The sequence below is a fragment of the Homo sapiens genome, chromosome 4 (genome assembly GCF_000001405.40).
Source record: "Homo sapiens chromosome 4, GRCh38.p14 Primary Assembly".
NCBI lineage: Eukaryota > Metazoa > Chordata > Mammalia > Primates > Hominidae > Homo > Homo sapiens.
The window spans coordinates 173,297,276-173,316,976 of NC_000004.12; the positions used below are offsets into that span (position 1 = coordinate 173,297,276).

Below are 19,701 nucleotides of genomic sequence, written 5' to 3' on the forward strand. Positions count from 1 at the left end.
TGCAGTTAGAGGAGTGAGGAAGATCAAGTAAAAGTACAGAAACACATTTTCATAACTGTTCCCAAGAAATAGCAACAAAGGGTTGAGAGAACCGCTAAGAATGTGGCAAGTACTATCTGTGACCCCACACACACGCACACGCATGCACACGCACACGTGAGCTTTTTCATGGGTGATAGGGAAAATAACAGGCAAGAAAATCTTATAAATAAGGTAAAATTACCAAAAGAAAGTTGCCTTTAGGACCAAAGCGAAAAGGAGAAAACTCTATTAAGCTCAGTGATATAGTTCTTTGTCCCTGACATTTGTCTGTAAGCCTAGGGGGAAGTCTCCTCTCTCCTGCCCTTACGTAAACAGGCTTTTCGGCTTTTATGGGACATTCATTTACTCTATTTCCCATTAGATATTAAAGTCCCCTAGTGCACAAACAAATCAACAACAAAAAGAGATAACGTAGTTAGGCATGCTGAACTAGTCTTGGGTTCTTAAATGCTTTTTCATTTTCTGTAAATGTTTCAGAACTACATGTACTGTGCCTCTAATAGATTACATAGATGGGAATGATTATTCCATTGAACCACAGCAAGGTGGGGATGAAGATGGTTTTGCCAGAGGGGCCTGGGACTGGAGTTTACTATGGAAACGTATTCCTCTAAGCCACAAGGAAAAGGCCAAAAGAAAACATAAAACTGAACCTTATCGGTAAAGACTATTACTTTATTTTCTTATGTTGAATGTTTATCTAAGTTCTTTTTTTTTTCTTCCCCATGAACTCGTATAAATGTGTGGGTCCATACATACGCTTCCATTTGATCTTTGCTGCCATCAACACAATACAGAACCATTTGCACTGTGCCGCTTATAGATGTCATAAATGGCAACACATATGAAATTATACCCCAAGGGGGTGGTGATGAAGATGGGTATGCCCGAGGAGCATGGGATTGGAGTATGCTCTGGAAACGGGTGCCTCTGACCCCTCAAGAGAAGAGACTGAGAAAGACAAAAACTGAACCGTATCGGTAATCACTAAATCACTTACATATTTTTCTTTTCTCCAGTTGCTGCTAACCTATTAACCTCTTGCCAAGCTAAAGATTCGTTATTAAAACTGTAGATGTTGTCTCAGATTCTGAAAGAACATCTTTCCTTACACTGTTTCAGAGCTTTCAATCTGCTCCATTTGCTCCATTGTAATTGCTTTTACCCTAAATGTGATGTCCACTACTGAGACGTACACACTTTCATTGGGGAAAGAAAAATAATGTAACATGGCATTTGTTCCACGTACAAGTGAAAAAAAGATAAAATCTTAGTTATCCTGTCCTACTGGATTAGACATCAAATTTTATTCTTTTGATGACAGTGTCATTCTATAAATTTAAAATACATAAATTACTTTAATCCAACCAAGACTTTTATTTCCACGTTCATGCCGTGGGTATAATGTTAACAATGAAGGGCACTAGCAAGAGATTTCTGGGTTTTTCTCCCCTTTTGCTGTTATGTTAACTCTCAAATACTAATTTTGTACTAGTTAAATCTGATGAATCACAATACATGACTTTAAAAAATGTTACATAGAATCCTTTATTGCTTCATTCTCAGAAAAGTGATTGATTAAAAGAAAACTCTATTCAAAAATCAGCTTTTGTCCCTTCTTGTGGTTCTTTCAGTAGAACAACTTATGCTACTCTCTTCTTTTGATCTTGTAATTAGAACATTTTACTGTCTCTGTAAAAAGTGACCCCAAATGAAATGTTTGCTCAAGTGTTAGTATAGCCTTCTCCTGAATGTGTCTAATCTTATTTTTCTGATCCTATGGTTCTGCTTTTGGTCTCTCTCTCCCTGTTACACTGCTGGTGATGTTAGAACTCTGTTTTGGGAAGGTGCTTCCAATGTTATGGAAACGCTGTGGGATTTGGGCATGTCATGATATCAAGATACTGAATGGCAAACATAAAGAAGTTATAGCACTTAATTAATCATAGTAGCTTAATTGGACATTTACCAAATTTTTTTTGGTAAATTTCTTATTCAGAATAGTCCAGGAATCAACTGCTTACGTGCTTAACTTAACAAATAACTGTGGGAGAAAAAAAATAAAGGGTGCTGAGCAAATTTATATTTCTGTTAATTCCATAGGCCAGTAAAGAAAATTTTTAAAGTGACCTAGAAAAATTAAAGGGAGGTTATCTGTTGATTAACTCACTGGTGACCATGTTAAGATGCATTTTCAAGTATATACTGAGATGAATGGGAACATATTTGAAGAAAAATAAACCCAGCTGCCGGGCAAGGTGGCTCACACCTGTAATCCCAGCACTTTGGGAGGCCGAGGCAGGCGGATCACCAGAGGTCAGGAGTTCGAGATCAACCTTGCTAACATGGTGAAACCCCATTTCTACTAAATATACAAAATTAGCTGGGCGTGGTGGTGTGTGCCTGTAATCCCAGCTACTTGGGAGGCTGAGGCAGGAGAATCGCTTGAACCTGGGAGGTGGAGGTTACAGTGAGTCAGGATCACGCCATTGCACTCCAGCCTGGGCAACAGAGTAAGACTTGGTCTCAAAAACAAAAAAAAAAAGACACAGCTATAACGGAATAATCTTAAATGACAGTTAAATAAAGGTGACATGAAAATATCACCTAAAATGTAATAGTGTTGTTACTGTGTTAGGCAGCATATTTTAAGAAGAAAAAGCATGAGAGAACAACTTTTTTCTGATGCTATTTTCTTCTAGTATTGAAAATATTTCTTGATTCATTATCCACTCAACAAACGTTTATTGAATGCTTACTGTATGCCAAGCACTGTTTTCTGGGGATACATTTTTAAAGATATGTTTCCTCATTGAATTTAAAATACAGTGAATCAGACAGAAATTAAACAGATAACTGCATAAATAACCCTAAAATTAGCCTGGTGTGGTGGCACGTGCCTGTAGTCCCAGCAACTCAGGAGACTGAGGCAGAGGGATTGCTTGAGCCCAGGAGTTCAAGGCTTCAGTGAACAATGATTGTGCCACTGTACTGCAGCCTGGGCAACAGAGTGAGACCCTGTCTCACAAAACAAACAAAACTCTGGAACAGCAGCTGTGATAAGTAGTATGAAGAAAAATCACAGAGTACATGAGTTTATGGAAAGATGAACCTAATCCAGCTTGGGAGATCAGGAAAGGCCCTTCTGACAAAGTGTCATTTAGGCTGAGACCTGAAGGATGAGGGACCAATTCTGTGGAAAAGGAGAAGGAACATTTCAGGATCGTGAATAACATGAATGAAGGCCTTAAGACAGAAAGGAGGCTGGCACGTTCCCGGTGGGAGCAGAGCCGTGAAGGACTCAACGGGAAGAGAGTCCATGGTGAGCCCAGAGAGCCGGGAGAGGCTGGTATCATGCAGGCGCATGTGGAGGAGTCTGCTCTGGCCCCTGTGTGATTAGCCTTGAGCAGGGGGCAGAAGACAATAAAGGACACAAGCTCGGGAGATATTGGAAAGTCCAAGCAGTGTTGGCCTGGTCTAGGCTGGTGGCAGTGAAGTTGGAAATAAGTCAGCAGATTCAAGATGTATTTTCAAGGCTGGGTGCAGTGGCTCATGCCTATAATCCTAGCACTTAGGGAGGCCTAGGCAGGTGGAACTTTTGAGCCCAGGAGTTCTAGACCAGTCTGAGCAACATGGCGAAACCCCATCTCTACAAAATACATAAAAAGGTAGCTGGATGTGTTGGTGTGCGCTTGTAGTCCCAGCTACTCAGGAGGCTGAGGTGGGAGGACTGCTTGAGCCCAGAAGGTCAAGACTGCAGTGAGCCGCAATCATGCCACTGTACTCCAGGCTGGGCCATAGAGTGAGACTATGTCTCAAAAAAAAAAGATTTTTTTTTCAAGGTAGAATCAATGGAACCTTGAAATAGGTTCCATTGAACCTATTTGAGTAGATTGAATATTATGTATGATGATGAAGTTACCCTAATAATACTGAGTACCCTAAAATTTAAGAATCATGATGGATTAGTAATTAATTGTTCAGGGGAGGGGAGCAGGGAGCAAGATAAATTCTGCTGTAATTTCTCCCAATGGTGGGAGTGACTTGTCCCTAAGAAGCTACCAAATCTTTTTTCTCTTGGACCTAAAAAGTGTCCAATTTAAGATCCATTCAAGAAGCCCCACAGATACACAGGTCACCCTTTTGCATTCCTACCTCCTGGCACAGTAAATATCTATATCTAATTCTCCTGTGTCATTTCTGTGCTACATTTGCAAACTCTGAATGAACTGTGGTTGTTCTACAATGATTTACACTGTTATTTGGCGAGCCCCTGAGCTATAAAATTAAAAAATGACAGACTACTTCCATGGTGTATGGTTTTGTTCACCCAAGAATGACTCATAAATCAATGCAGGAGCAGTTAGCAGACCACGGCTGTATGGCTCAGTGTTTTTAAGAGTGAAAGAGAAAATTCTATTTTAACTAAAACTAAGGCTTAATTTTTAAATCCACAGAGGTACCAAGGCGCCCTCTAATGGTGAACTCAAACAATGCTCTATTTTGTAATGAGCTACAGTTTCAGTTAGAAATTGTGGTAAATTCGTTAGGGAATTATGAACAGATTTTTTTCTTTTTTTGTAAAGGCTTTATAATTTCTTAATGTTTGGCCATCAGTTTTGTCTCTTCTATGCATTTTCAGGCTGTATTCTACAAGGCTTCTTGCCTATTGGTGAAGGGTTATTGGGGGTTTGTCTGTAATGGTTATTGCAGTGTTTCTTTTTCTTAGGTCCCCAGCCATGGCTGGGGGATTATTTGCCATTGAACGAGAGTTCTTCTTTGAATTGGGTCTCTATGATCCAGGTCTCCAGATTTGGGGTGGTGAAAACTTTGAGATCTCATACAAGGTAACATTTTATTTCAACAGATGGAATTCTCCAAGTCGTTACTAACTTCTGTGGCTTTCAGATAAAGCTAGTTTTTTGTGGGGGAAAAAAGCCCACAATTATATCATGCATTTCTCCAAATTGTATAGAATGATTTAATGAAAATGGATGCCTTTGAGGAAAAAATAAGGCAAAATGCAAGCTCCAAACTTACCATATATTTACAGGGCTCAGCTCAAAATTGTGGCTAGCAAGCTTTAGAAATGAAAATATCTACCCCCACACCCCAACTTTCTATATATTGGAGCTTTTTATTATAGAAGCCCTTGGAAGAATCTGCATGCGTTAGGGCCACAATTGACCACCCACTGACACAGTCACCCTTTACCACTGTAGGACATGATTCAAGACAGAAGCAGAGCCCCACAATGACTGTATCCTCAGGCTGACTTTGGCGCTGTCTTCCTGCAGCATCCACCCTGTTGTTGAAGCAGTCTGGGAGCAATACTATCTTCCATGCTCCAGCCCCCACCTCAACCCCTATTCCTACCCCCATTTTCCAAAAGAAAGAGAGAGAGAACTATATCAGAGTGTGAGTTAAACAGGTATTCATTACCTCTTGTCTTAAATGTCCTGTGCGTAGCACTGTGAGGGATAGAAGAGGAGTAAACCAGTTGTTGCTCTCAAGGAACTTGATAAGAAGATATTAGAATTATACTTAAATTCATAATACAAGAAGGCAGAATGGCATTCAGTTGGTGTGCTTAAAAAACCGTCGGCCAGGCGCTCATGCCTATAAACCCATCACTTTGGGAGGCCAACATGGGCGGATCATGAGGTCAAGAGATCGAGACCATCCTAGCCAACATGGTGAAACCCCATCTCTACTAAAATACAAAAAATTAGCCGGGTGTGGTGGTACACACCTGTAGTCCCAGATACTCGGGAGGCTGAGGCAGGGGAATTGCTTGAATCTGGGAGGCGGAGATTGTAGTGAGCCGAGATCGCACCACTGCACTCCAGCCTGGGGGACAGAGCGAGACTCCGTCTCAAAAAAAAAAAAAGAAAGAGCGAGCGTTATGCTAGATGCAGAATTTGCGGCAGAAGTAGGAAGATGGGTATGATGTTAGTAAGCACAGATAAGGGATGGGAGGGGGACTTCTAAGCAAGTAGCATGGGGAAAAGTACAAAGAAGAGAACACAAGGAACATTCAGAGAACAGCAAGGAGCAAACTTTGGCAGAATCAAGCAACATGAATAAGGAAGACATCTAAGAAGATAAAATGGGAAGGTGTATTAGGGCCATATTGAAGAGAGCCTTTAAAGCTGAGTTAAGAGATTTTTATTTAATTTGATAAGCAGTGGAGAACGATCAAAGATATTAAGCAAGGGAATAACATGACCCAAAGCTGCCCTTCACCTATAATAATCTCTTGCTATAAATAAGGATAGTTGAGTAGAGAGAAGCCGAAGGTGAAGAAGCCAGTTAGGAGTTTATTATAATAATCACCCAAGTAGGAAATATATTAGCAATGGAAATGATTAATGAGTTAGGAATAAAGAATCCACATGACTTTGCAAGGTTATATTGGGAGAAAGTTGCTAGGGGCTATGAGTACACAGTAAGAGGCCCCTTAGTAGCAGTTTATTATTAATACTGTATTCCCTGTTGCCTTCTTGGTTGTTACATGAGCTTTTAAAAGCAAATTATTTTAGGATTTGTTTAGTTTAAGAATTCTGTGTGGACACTGTATATAATTTAGATTTTAGATTTACACTTACAAGATAAATTTTCAGTTATGGTTTATGTTTGTATTTGAAACAACTTTCACAACGTGTTTTTCCTTCATAGATATGGCAGTGTGGTGGCAAATTATTATTTGTTCCTTGTTCTCGTGTTGGACATATCTACCGTCTTGAGGGCTGGCAAGGAAATCCTCCGCCCATTTATGTTGGGTCTTCTCCAACTCTGAAGGTGAGTTTTTTGGATAAAAGGGGAGGACAGGGAACTAACATTTATGTACCACATGCTATAGTAGTTACTTAACAATTGTCAGCTTATTGAGTGGGCTCTTCAGCAGTCATGTTGATTCTCACCTTTAACTTAGCTAGACTTATTCACGAAATATCTTATTGTTCTTTAAGATTATTCAGCTGAAGCAGGAGGATTCCTTGAGCCCAGGAGTTCAAGGCTGCAGTGAGCTATGATTGCACCACTGCACTCCCCGCTGGATGACAGAACGAGACCCCATCTCTTAAAAAAAAAAAAGATTGCACCCTATTTTTTTAATTGACAAGTAAATATTGTATGTATCTTGTACAATATGATGTTTTGATATATGTATACATTGTGGGGATGGCTAAATCTGGCTATTTGGACATGTATTACGTCACCTACTTGTTTTTGTGCTGAGAACACTTAAAATTTGTTCTCAGCAATTTTCATATATGTAATATATTATAAATTGTAGTCACCATGTTGTATAATAGATCTCTTAAAACTATTGTTCCTAACAGAAGTTTTGTGTCCTTTGACCAAAATCAGCCCACTCCCCCCAATCCTCACCTTCTGGTAACCACCATTTTACTATCTGTTTACTTGTTTACACTCCACATGTAAGTAATATCATGCAGTGTTTGTCTTTCTGTGCCTGGCTTATTTCATTTAACATAATATTCTCCATGTTGTTGCAAGTGACAGGATTTTTTTATTATTTAAGGGTGCATAGTATTAATACCATCATGTATATATACCATATTTTCTTTACCCATTCATCTGTTGATGGACACTTAGCTTGATTCCATATCTTGACTATCGTGAATACTGCTGCAATGAACAGGAGTGTAGATACCTCTTCGATATACAGATTTTATGTCCTTTGGATATATACCTAGTAATGAGATTGCTAGATCAGATGATAGTTCTATTTTTAATATTCTGAGGAACCTCTGTACTGTTTTCCCATAATGGCTGCACCATTTTGCATTCCCACCAACAGGTGGGAAGGGTATCTTGTGGTTTAATTTGCATTTCTCTGATAATTAATGATGTTGAGCATTTCTTCATATAACTGTTGGCTAGTTGTATGTCTTCTTTTGAGAAATATCTATTCAGGTCCTTTGCCCAATTTAATCAGGTTGTTTCCTTACTATTGATTTGTTTGAGTTCCTTCTATGTTACGGATATTAGCCCTTACCAGATGTATGGTTTGCAGATGTAGCCTCCCATTCCATAGATTGTCTACTTTGTTAATTGTTTCCTTTGCTTACAGAAGCTTCTTAGTTTGATATAATTCCATTAGTCTATTTTTATTTTTGTTGCCTGTTCTTTTGGGGTTGTTACATCCAAAACCAATATCATGGAATTTTTTCTTTTAGAAGTGTTACAGTTTTAGGACTTCACGTAAGTTTTTAATCCATTTTGAGTTGATTTTTATATATGGTGTGAGATGAAGGTCTAGTTTCATTCTTTTGCATATGGATATCTAGTTTTCCATTTATTGAAGAGACTGTGTTTTCCCTCATGTGTTCTCAGCATCTACCTTGAAAATCAATTGACCATAAATGCGTGGATTATTTCTGGCCTCTCTGTTCTGTTCTTTTGGTCTATGTGTCTGTTTTTATGTGAGTACCATACTGTTTTGATTACTATAGCTTAGTAGTAGATTTTGAAATCAGGTAGTGTGATGCCTCCAGCTTCGTTCTTTTTGCTCAAGATTGCTTTAGCTATTCAGGGTTTTTTGTGGATCCATATGAATTTTAGGATGGATTTTTTTATTTCTGGGAAAAATGTCCTTGGAATTTAGATAGAGATTATATTGAATCTGTAGTTTGCTTTTATAATATGGATATTTTAATAATATTAGTTCTTTGAATCCATGATCACAGGGTATCTTTCCATTTATTTTGTGTATTCTTCAATTTATTTCATCAGTGTTTTATAGTTTTCAGCATGTAGATTTTTTCACCTCCTAAATATTTTATTGTTTTGCTTAGCTATTGTAAATCGGATTGTTTTCTTAGTTTGTTTTACAGATAGACCACCGTTAGCATATAGAAACACTACTGATTTTTCTATGTTGATTTTCCTGCAACTTTATTAGATTTGTTTATTAGTTCTAACAGCTTTTTAATAGAGTCTCTTTAGGGTTTTGAATATATAAGATTATGTCATCTGCAGAGACAGTTTACTTCTTTTCTGATTTGGATGTCTTTTCTTTCTCTTGTCTAGTTGCTCTGGCTAAAACTTCCAGTAGTATGTTGAATAGAAGTGGGGAGAGTGGGCATCCTTGTCTTGTTCTTAATTGTAGAGGAAGAGCTTTCAACTTTTCATCATTGAGTATAATGTTTGCTGTGGACTTGTCATGTATGGCCTTTATTGTGTTGAGGTACAATCCTCATGTAATTTGTTGAAGCTTTTTACATTGAATTTTGTCAAATGCCTTTTTCACATCTATTGAGATGATTATATGGTTTTTGTCCTTCATTCTGTTAATGTGGAGTATCACATTTACTGATTTGTGTATGTTGAATCATCCTTGCATCCCAGGGATAAAGCCCACTTGGTCATTGTAAATGTTATTTCAATTATTTCTCTGTGTTTGATTGAAGGTAACTGAGCTTCTGTAAAACAATTATTTAGAATTATTTATCCAGGTCTACTACTGGGAGATTATTGTGATCTTCTAGTGGTATTATGTCCTCTTCATTTTTCAGTTTCTTATTGACTTACATTAATGCCTGTGCATTTTGTGGACCAGTCACCTCTTGCGGACTTTACAGGCTGGTTTCAGCTTCCTCTATGGGGGAAGGAAGGTGTGAGGGTACTTGCTTGGTGGGATATAGCAGTTCTGGGACTACTGAGGATACCAGGTATATATTCCCTGTGCAGATCAGCCCACCAAGGTCAGTGTTGGCAAAGATTCTAGTGCTCCTCAGTGGCTAATGCTGTAGATATCTATAGTGGCAGTGAGGCATGTTGGGGTCTTTGGGTATGGCTGCCAAGGTCATCCTGATTTTTCTCTCATTGCAGAAGTTGAATGCCCCTTGGCACTGGTTCTGACTCATAGGCTCACTTGCAGCGGCAGTGGCCCTTGTAGAGTGGCTGGGGAGCTGAGGACTGAAGCACAAGCATGAGTGGAGAGACTATGGCTACAGGATCTTGGACAGTTTAAAAACCCCAGGACTTAGGGCACAGATATTTCGCTACTGTATTGATAACAGAATGCGAGGTACCAGATGTTTGTGAGACAGCTGAAGTAGCCAAGAATGGGAGCACAGATGTGCTCAGAGTTAATCCAGCTCTAGGGACAGAGTGGTGCCTAGGTCTCTATGGCAGCTGAGCTGGTGCTTGGGACATAGGTACCTCTGCTGCCATGTTGGTAGCAGTATGTGAGGCCCAGATGCTTGTGAAGTAGCTTTTAGAGCCAAGGAAAGGAGCAGAAGCATGCGTAGAGTTAGAGCAGCTCCTGAGTTGGGGTGGGTTCTAGCTCTCTGTTGCAGCTGATCCAGGGCCTGGAGATGGGGCATGCACAATAAAGGCGTGGCTCTGAGGCCTGGAGCATGAACGAACTATAGCAATGGTTCTAGTGTCGGGGCAGGCCCAGTGCAGCCACAGAGCCTGGGGCTGCAATGTGGACACTAGCAGAACAACTGTGGCTTCAGGATCAGGGCTCACTGGGCCATGGGAGAATTGGCAGAGCTTTGCCCAAAGTAATTCAAGAGTAGCTGCTGCTTGGATGGTGGTGAATGTTCAGATGCATCTCCCTCTCTGGGGTTCCCCAGCAGAAGGGCTGTCGTTTACCTCAGTGGCAAGTGATGCCAGTGTCCTCTAGGGAGCAGGCCTCTGGAAACTATGGTAGTTCCTGCTGCATGGCCGATACCAATAGCATCTGCCTTTCTTCTTTGTTCCTAGCTATCTCCTTGTGCCTCAGGTATGTAGACCTCACAGGTGATCCTGTCCTATGTAGATATTCTTCGTTTCTTTTCCTCCATTGTGTTGCTGCAGATTCTTCAATGGGCCCTGGAGCTCTCTCTGGGCTATTTGGGTTTGTGAATAGGTGTCTGTATTTGTTTTTTAGTTGTGGGGGAATAAAGGCTGGTGTCTCCTACTTTGCCATCTTGGTGACCTCACCTCCCATTATATCCCATTCTGATTAAGATTCCTATATTGAATGTTCTCCATGAATACATTTCAAATAAACTCAAAAAAGTCTGACACTGTGTAGGGAAATAGTTGAAGGGAAAAATACTAGCTTCTGTTATTCACACATGAGTAAAATATGGTTTGGTTTTTTTTTTAATTTAGATAATCATGTTAGGAGTTTGCATAATAAGCAAAATCGAATTTTTGAACAGTGCTTACAAAAGATTAATATCTCTTGTCCCTCAAAGATTGAAAAGTTAATGTGAATATCCTTTGTCCTGTTGTATTCTGCCTCCATATTCTCTATCTCTGTCACATAAAATAGAGGAAAATTGGCCAGGCACAGTGGCTCACACCTGTAATCCCAGCACTCGGGGAGGCCGAGGTGGGAGGATCACGAGGTCAGGAGTTCGAGACCAGCCTGACCAACATAGTGAAACCCAGTCTGTACTAAAAATACAAAAATTAGCTGGGTGTGGTGGTGGGCACCTGCAATCCCAGCTACTCAAGAGGCTGAGGCAGGAGAATCGCTTGAACCCTGGAGGCAGAGTTTGCAGTGAGCCGAGATCTCGCTGCTGCACTCCAGCCTGGGCAACAGAGGGAGACTTCGTCTCAAAAAAACAAAAAAATAGAGGAAAATCCCACTGACTCTTTTCATTGTGACATCCAAATTGTTCTATTGTAATAAATATTTTGCTGTGATTATTTAATAAAAATCTCATCTCCTATGCCATAAATATAGAACTAGGATTGATAATCTATATTTTACCAAAACTCATGAACCTGCAGAAAAACAAAACATTGGTTTTTAAAACATTTTGGAAATGTTAAAAAATATTTTTTGAATAAATAAAATGTATTTAACTTAAACTGAACGGGACTGTTTTAGTAGGATGAGCATCCTCCCGGGCTTCTTTCCCAGTCACACGTTTATTAGGAAATAAATCACAGTTCTAGTTCCTTCTATTGATTCTCCCCATTCCAGGGAGTGTACGTGCTCTCTCTCAGCTTCCTCAAATGAGATATGTCATAGTCGCCGTCTTCCAAGAGAATGACAGTTTCTAGCTGGGGAGGACAGAATTAGAAGTAGTGTAGTGGTGAATGATGACCTGGTGATTATCCAGCCATGTTGGGGTCTCCCAGTTCTTTGACATTTCATCCCAGACTAGTGACACTTAGGGGTGGCATTTATTTATGAAACAAACCAAGGAAGCTTCATGCAGACATCCAGATGTCCCACTGCTTGGAGGACAAAGACCTCTATCCCTGGCAAAACAACTTTGAGGTTTATTTGGTTGGGCTGCTTTCATAAGTTCTAAGAGGCATGCAACTCTGATGCCCCTCATTTTCTGGAACGCTTAACCAAGTCAAGTTTATTGTTGGCTGTAGACACAACTTGGGACAGTTCATAAAATGGGAATAGGTAATAAGCAGACAGCTAAGCTTTCAGAGCCAGAACATCCTTCTCATTGGCCAAATGAAGCCCCAGCTACAACAGGGGATGAGATTTAAATGTCTGTGATAAAACAAAAATAGCACCAAATTAACACCAGGCATGATTGACATTGCAGGAAATTCCCCTTGGAGTTGGACTCAACAATCACGAAGAATTGATGAAAAGCCAAATTGACTCAAAAAAAGTCTATTCTGAAAGAAAAACTAAAAGAGCTGAGAGGTGGCTATTTATCCTCTCTAAAAATTAGCTATATATACCATACAAACTACCCAGTAAGTGTGAATTTAGCATACACTTAGTGAGTACCCAGCATGTGCCAGGCACTTTCTTTTCTCCAGTTTTGACAGCATCTACTTGAGCCATCAGGGGGCCAGTGGCCAGGTCTGTTTCTCCAGCTCATTTGTCTCCTCTGAGCCTCAAACCTTCTAGAGTTATCCTCTTTGATGTCCTTTAGATCTTCCACTCAACAGAAGTCAAAACTGACCTTTAACTTTTCCTCAAAAGTGATTCCTTCCACTGTGTTCTCTATTTGCCCGTGAATGAAACTTAGGGAGGCATGTAGAGTTGTTCCCTGTCCCTCCCCCTTACCAAGTGCTGGTGATTCTGCCTCACATATAGCTCTTCAATCCATCCCTTTCTATACTTAGTGCAGCCCCTCAAATCTCTCCCATGAATAGTAAATAGCCTCCTACTTGGCTCTTTGCCATCAAGTTCAACCCCCTTCAGTCTACCCTCCACTCACTACCGGTGTCATTGATCTGAAAATTAAATCTGATGTCACTTACCTGCTTAAAACGTTTTTATGGTTGTCATCTCAAGGGTAAAATTCAAAGTTCTTTTAAAAATAATAATATTAATAATAGCTAACATATGGTAAGTACTTACAGTGTACCAGGCATAAATCTAAATCCTTTATATAGATTAACTTCTTAATTTTCACAACACACTATGAGGTAAGGACTATATCCTCATCTAATTTTTTTATGTTGTTGTTGTTGTTGTTGTTTTGAGACGGAGTTTCACTCTTGTTGCCCAGGCTAGAGTGCAATGGTGCAGTCTCAGCTCACTGCAACCTCTGCCTCCCAGATTCAAGAGATTCTCTTGCCTCAGCATTCCAAGTAGCTGGGATTATAGGTGCGCACCACCACACCTGGCTAATTTTTGTATTTTTAGTAGAGACAGGGTTTCACCATGTTGGCCAGGCTGGTCTCGAACTCTGCCTCCCAAAGTGCTGGGATCAGAGGTGTGAGCCACCACGCCCAGCCTATATCCTCATCTTAAAATGAAGAAACTGAAGCAAGTTTTCTCCCAGTGAATACTGCATTCCAGTTTTTGTAAACTACTTGCTATACTGCAATACACCATGATTTGTCATACTGCATTTGCTTTTCTCTTTGCCCTGAATACCATTCCCACCTAATTAACCACTCCTTCGAGATGGGGCAACACAGTGCCACTCTGGCCCTGTCCATCTGAGAAAACTAATTGCTCCTTCTTTTTGTTGCCATAATCTTACATGTGTATACATAACTCTTCAGGTTTGTTCATGTCTAGAGTACATGTACTGTGTCTAATTTCGTATGGATTTGCAAAGATTCAGAATGTTTAGTGGTATATTAGTCTGTTTTCACACTGCTATAAAGATATACTTGAGACTCGGTAATTTATAAAGAAAAGAGGTTTAATTGGCTCACAGTTCTGCAGGCTGTACAGGAAGCTTGGCAGCTTCCGCTTCTAAGAAAGCTCAGGAAGCTTCCAATTATAGTGGAATGCAAAGGGGGAGCAAGGCGTCTCACCTGGTGGGAGCAGGAGCAAGAGAGAGAAGCAGGAAGGTGCTACACACTTTTCACCAACCAGATGTCACAAGAACTCAGAGTCACAAGGACAGTGTGGGCATGGGGGTGGGGGGTGGACTGGTGGTAAATCATTCATGGAGGATCCACCCCATGAACCAGTCACCATCCACCAGGCCCCGCCTCCAACATTGGGGATTATAATTGGTCCTGAAATTTGGGTAGGGACACAGATCCAAACCATATCAAGTGGTAATATCGTATGTTCTTTTATCATGCTGCTTATAACAGCTTTTTTTAAACCCATGGGCTTTTGTGACAACAATGCATCTAGGGGCATGTTCACCCTTTGATAGTTATCTTGTTGCCTAGAAAACATTTAATCTGAACACTAGGTATTTCTTTTTTGAATGTAAAACATGGGTCGGCCACATGGCTGACAGGCCAAATCCAACCCTTTTTAGTAAATCAAGTTGTATTAGAAGATAGCCACACTCATTTGTTTGTGTATTATCTACGGTTACTTTCTCACTACAATAGCAGAGTCAAATAGTTGCCACAGAGACTGTATAGCCCAAAAAGCCCAAGATACTTACTATCTGGCCCTTTATAGAGAATATTTGCTGATGCATGATGTACAAGATTAAGGGATTGAGTATTATTTTAGTTCATTTAGTGTTGCTACAACAGAACACCTGAGGCTGGGTAATTTATCAAGAAAAGAGGTTTATTTATTCACGATTCTGGTGGTTTGAAAATTCAGGCTTGGGCAGCTACATCTGGTGAGGGCCTTATGCTGCTTCAGCTCATGATGGGAAGCAGAAGGGGAATGCACATGTGCAAAGAGATCATCACATGGCGAGAGAGGAAGCAAGAGAGAGACCAAGGAAGCCAGACTCTTTAACAAACTACTCTTGTGGGAACGAATCCACTTCTGTGAGAGCAAGAACTCACCCCCTCACCTCCATAGGAGGCCATTAATGTATTAACAACCCAAACTCCTCCCAGCAGGCCCTGCCTCCCAGCATTGCCACATTGGGCATCACATTTCAACATGAATGTTGGCAGAGACAAATCACATGCAAATTATCACTCAAGTGTGTACCAATTTGGTCACATATATTCATGCAACCATTCATTCATCAATTAAAGCTTTAAAAGCTAGATATTTGTCAGCTATCACAGTGTCAGCATATTTTATTGCTCTATAGCTGCTTTTTCTTAAAGTGAACCAACTGGGGTCGGGGGCAATGGCTCACGCCTATAATATCAACACTTTGGGAAGCCAAGGCAGGCAGATTGCTTGAGGTCAAGAGTTCAAGACCAGTCTGGCCAACATGGTGAAACCCCATCCCTACTAAAAGTACAGAAATTAGCCAGGTGTGGTGGCGGGCACCTGTAATACCAGCTACTCAGGAGGCTGAGGCAGGAGAATCGCTTGAACCTGGGAGGCAGAGGTTGCAGTGAGCCGAGATTGCGTCACTGCACTCCATCCTTGGTGACAGAGTGAGACTCCATCTCAAAAATATATATTTTTTTTAAATTAAAGAAAGGAACCAACTGGGGAAAATACCCAGTCCATTTGGGGTTATAGTAAAATAGTTCTATTATAGTTATAACAGGATCAATAAAATCACCTGCAAAAATGTGTTTTATTAAACAGAGCTTTTGTTTCTCATGATGGTTTCTGAAATGATATTTTTTTCCCTACACTTATCAACAGAACGATTCTAATAGAAAGAGATTGTAGGCCAGGCACAGTGGCTCACACATGTAATTCCAACACTTTGGGAGGCTGAGGTGGGAGGATCTCTTGAGGCCAGGAGTTTGAGACCAGCCTGGGCAACAGAATGAGACTCCATCTACACAAAAAAATAACAAAAATTAGCCAGGTATAGTGGCATGTACCTATAGTCCTAGCTACTCGGGAAGCTGAGGTGAGAGGATCACTTAAACCCAGGAAGTTGAAGCTGCAATGAGCCAAGATTGCACCACTGCACCCTAGCCTGAATGACAGAGCAAGACCCCATCACAAAAAAAAAAAAAAAAGAAAAGAAAAGAAAGAGATTATTATAGGGAAAGAAGTACAGTGTCCAGCCAAGCTCTCATAAACTCTCTCTGAGATTCAATTTATTCTTCTGTTAGCAGAATAGAATACATTATCTCAGCATATATGATCTTCCAGCTCAGGGATATCAGGTTTTGTACAATACTTTTTACTTAAATACACATGATATTTTAATCCTTGGCAGATGACATATTAGAGTCATTAACTTGCATTTGTTGTTTAATTAAATGCCAGGTCCTGTTGAAATGAATTTGTTATGTGTAGGCCATTTTCATGTGTCTAATATAGGCTGTTTATGATATGACATTTGTATTTTTATAACGATATATATATATATATTTTTTTTTTACAGAATTATGTTAGAGTTGTGGAGGTTTGGTGGGATGAATATAAAGACTACTTCTATGCTAGTCGTCCTGAATCGCAGGCATTACCATATGGGGATATATCGGAGCTGAAAAAATTTCGAGAAGATCACAACTGCAAAAGTTTTAAGTGGTTCATGGAAGAAATAGCTTATGATATCACCTCACACTACCCTTTGCCACCCAAAAATGTTGACTGGGGAGAAGTAAGTAGTCACATCTCAAAATGTATGTGTTTGTAGACTGAGTTTGGGAGAAGGCAGAGAGAGGTGGAAATATGTAAGAGGGAAGTATTCTTGGGGAAAAGTTGGGGTAAAAACTGTCTGATAGGATCTACCACCTTTCCACTAAACAGCTATAGCTGCCAGACCAGCTGGCCACCATGCTGTCTCCTGGCAGCCTTTGCTCATTGGCCCCCTAGCCTGCAAGACATCCACTCTTCACTCCAGCTCCTGGCGCCTCCATGCCTCTTACTCCAACTCCCTTCCTTAACTAATTTCAATTTATCTTACTGCTCTCAACTTAGAGATCACCAATACTGAAAAGCCCTTCTTACTATTCCCCACTTCATCAAAAAGATGCAGTTCTATGTTCTTTCCAGGGGTTCTCACAACACCCAAAATCACCTATCTCCCAACCAGTCTGAGTGCTTCAGGACCTTGATCACTTGTGTCCAGGTGGACTGATGCAGGGACCCATATACAGTAGATACTCCAACAATGCTTTTCAAATGAATTAAAAATAATTAAAATCAGACAAAAGCACTTTGACAATCAGACATTGTCATTTCTTTGTTTATTCAAACTTGTCTTCAGACTCACTTCTGATTGCTCCCTGCAGCCCCGCTGTATGCCTCACAGGTACACTAAACCTGCCATGAACGTTCAAGTCTACATCCCTCTGCTTAATTATGTTCAGCAAATATTGGTTGAGGGCCTACTATGTGCCAGTCACTCTTCTAGACAGAAAACCAGAGAAGCAAAGTCGTTTTTCTCAGGGAACTGGCATGCTACCTGGGGAGAGAGACCAAAAAAGTCTGAGAAAACAAAAATGATAATGACAGATGGTGATAAATGATAATGACACATAATACTGTCAAGAGGACTTAAGGGCAGGGTAAGGAAAGCCTCTCTGAGGAGGTGACATTCGCTCTCAGATCTGAATGATAAAGAGTCAGCCAATCAGAGAGTGGAGATGAAGGGAAGCTGACCAACTGCGGAAGCATAGTTCATCTGGGAGTGGATTCCTTATGGGTTGGTGTGTGAAGGGATAAGGGCCAGAATGACATCGAGGTTGTTTTGAGTAGCTGATTAGGTGGCTGCTGAGATTGGGAAGATAGTAGGGGAGTGAATGGAGGGGGCAAGGCTTCTGTTGGTGTTCTGGGCATGTGAAGTACCTGCTAGGCGTCCAGGTAGAGCCATTAAGGCCTACTGATCATAGATTGTAGGTTGTATGATGCCAAAGTCCAGAAGAGAGGCCACTCTGGAGATGTGCATTTGGGGCCATCAGCAGGTAGGTCGTTTCATGGGACTGAATGAGGTCCCCGAGGGAGAAAACACAGATAGAGAAGAGAAGACTAGACCCATCCGTCAGAAACGCCAGCATTTAGAGTTCAGGAATAGAAGGAAAAACCAACAGAGGACACTCATGCTGCTCTCTCTGTACTTCTTGCTTTAATATACTTTTTCCCTATACTCTTATTTTACCTGTCCTATTACAGCAAATTATGTTTAACTCCAACTAGACCATAAGCCTTTCAACACACAGATCTCTCTCTGAGGGCCCAGACAAGTATATCCAACTGTATGCTTAACATCAGGACTTGAATGTGTAACAGGCATTTCAAACTCGACATAGCCTAAATTGAACTTCCTATCTCCTCCCCCCAACCCATCTTTGCTGATTTCTTGGTCAAAAACTTTGGAGTCTTCCATGAATCCTGTCTTTGTCTCGCACTTCATATCTAGTTCCAGAATCTGATCCCTTGTTGCCTGGTCTAAGCCACCATCATCTCTCACTGAGACTAACTTGTTGACTCTCCTACAGCCTATTTCAAATACAGCAGTCAGAGTGACTGTTTTAAAATAAAGGCAAATCATGTCCTTCTTCTGCTAGAAACCCTGCACCTTCACCTATGAGTGAAGACAAAGTCCTTTCTGGTAGTCTCCAAGATCCACAACATCTGTCCCCATTCCTCTCTGGCCTCACCTGCTACTGCTCTCCCCACTCCACTCCAGCCCCATGTCCTTACTGGTCCTCAGACTCCCTCCAGGCATGTGCCTGCCTGTGCTGTTCCCTCTGCCAGGAATGCTTCCTTGCAGATACACGCATGCATGGCCAGCTCTCACACCTCCTTCAAGTCTGCTGACCTACCACTTCTCAGTGAGGTCCACCTTGTTACTTCCCAACGCCCTAGCTCCCACCCTAACTTCCTCTTCTTTTCCTTTTTTTCACCACACTTATCACCTTTTGCCATAACAGACAAATTGTCTACTATGTTTTTTAACTTATATTCTGTCTTTTTTCCCTTACATTCCCAGAGTGAATGGAGGCAGGGGCCCACATTCACTGTGGCATGCCCATTACTGGGGTAGGTGTCTTTATTTTGTTCACTAGTGTTTCAGAGCCTACAACATGCCTGGCACACATCAGGTACTTAATATTTGATGATTGAATAAATACATGAATGAATAAATGGAATTTTCTGTCCTCCTTTTACTGTCTCACTCCCAAGTATATCTTCAGTTTAACCTCTTCCCATTCTGACATCTGCACTTTATACTTCATTTCTCGGCATTTCCTTAACATTCCAGGGTAAACCCCTACCTGTTTTAAAGGTGTCTCTTGGGGCAGTCTTTGGAGCTCCTCCAGGCAGGGTGAGCAGCTCTTCCTCTGTACATTCACACCTCTGTCCTGACTGGTCCACTACCCCTCTGTCTCTCTACAGGCGGTGAGGACCATGACTTGCACCTCTTCATATCCTCAAAACCTGTTATCATTATAGGT

The 19,701-nt window shown here is 40.8% G+C and overlaps 1 protein-coding gene across 11 annotated transcripts in view, besides 2 other annotated features; it reads left to right on the top strand.

Moving 5' to 3' along the window:
• Positions 1-19,701, top strand: part of GALNT7 (polypeptide N-acetylgalactosaminyltransferase 7) — a 155,157-nt gene that overhangs the window by 128,465 nt on the left and 6,991 nt on the right. For 7 of the 11 annotated variants that reach the window (XM_047415780.1, NM_017423.3, NM_001375600.1 and 4 more), the window contains 4 exons: positions 840-1,022; positions 4,772-4,889; positions 6,721-6,843; positions 16,683-16,901. In XM_047415780.1, coding sequence (XP_047271736.1) covers positions 840-1,022; positions 4,772-4,889; positions 6,721-6,843; positions 16,683-16,901 — 643 coding nt within the window. Of the gene's footprint in view, positions 1-519; positions 703-839; positions 1,023-4,771; positions 4,890-6,720; positions 6,844-16,682; positions 16,902-19,701 lie in introns of all 11 variants that reach the window. The other 4 variants (NM_001375599.1, XM_047415779.1, XM_047415782.1 and 1 more) reach the window with 2 other exon arrangements.
• Positions 9,405-10,187: an enhancer, noted in NCBI's record as "H3K27ac hESC enhancer chr4:174227831-174228613 (GRCh37/hg19 assembly coordinates)". NCBI's record gives its function as "activates a minimal SCP1, AML or CMV promoter by ChIP-STARR-seq in primed H9 embryonic stem cells {active_cell/tissue: H9 hESC(primed)}" and the evidence as "EXISTENCE:reporter gene assay evidence [ECO:0000049][PMID:30033119]".
• Positions 10,188-10,969: an enhancer, noted in NCBI's record as "H3K27ac hESC enhancer chr4:174228614-174229395 (GRCh37/hg19 assembly coordinates)". NCBI's record gives its function as "activates a minimal SCP1, AML or CMV promoter by ChIP-STARR-seq in primed H9 embryonic stem cells {active_cell/tissue: H9 hESC(primed)}" and the evidence as "EXISTENCE:reporter gene assay evidence [ECO:0000049][PMID:30033119]".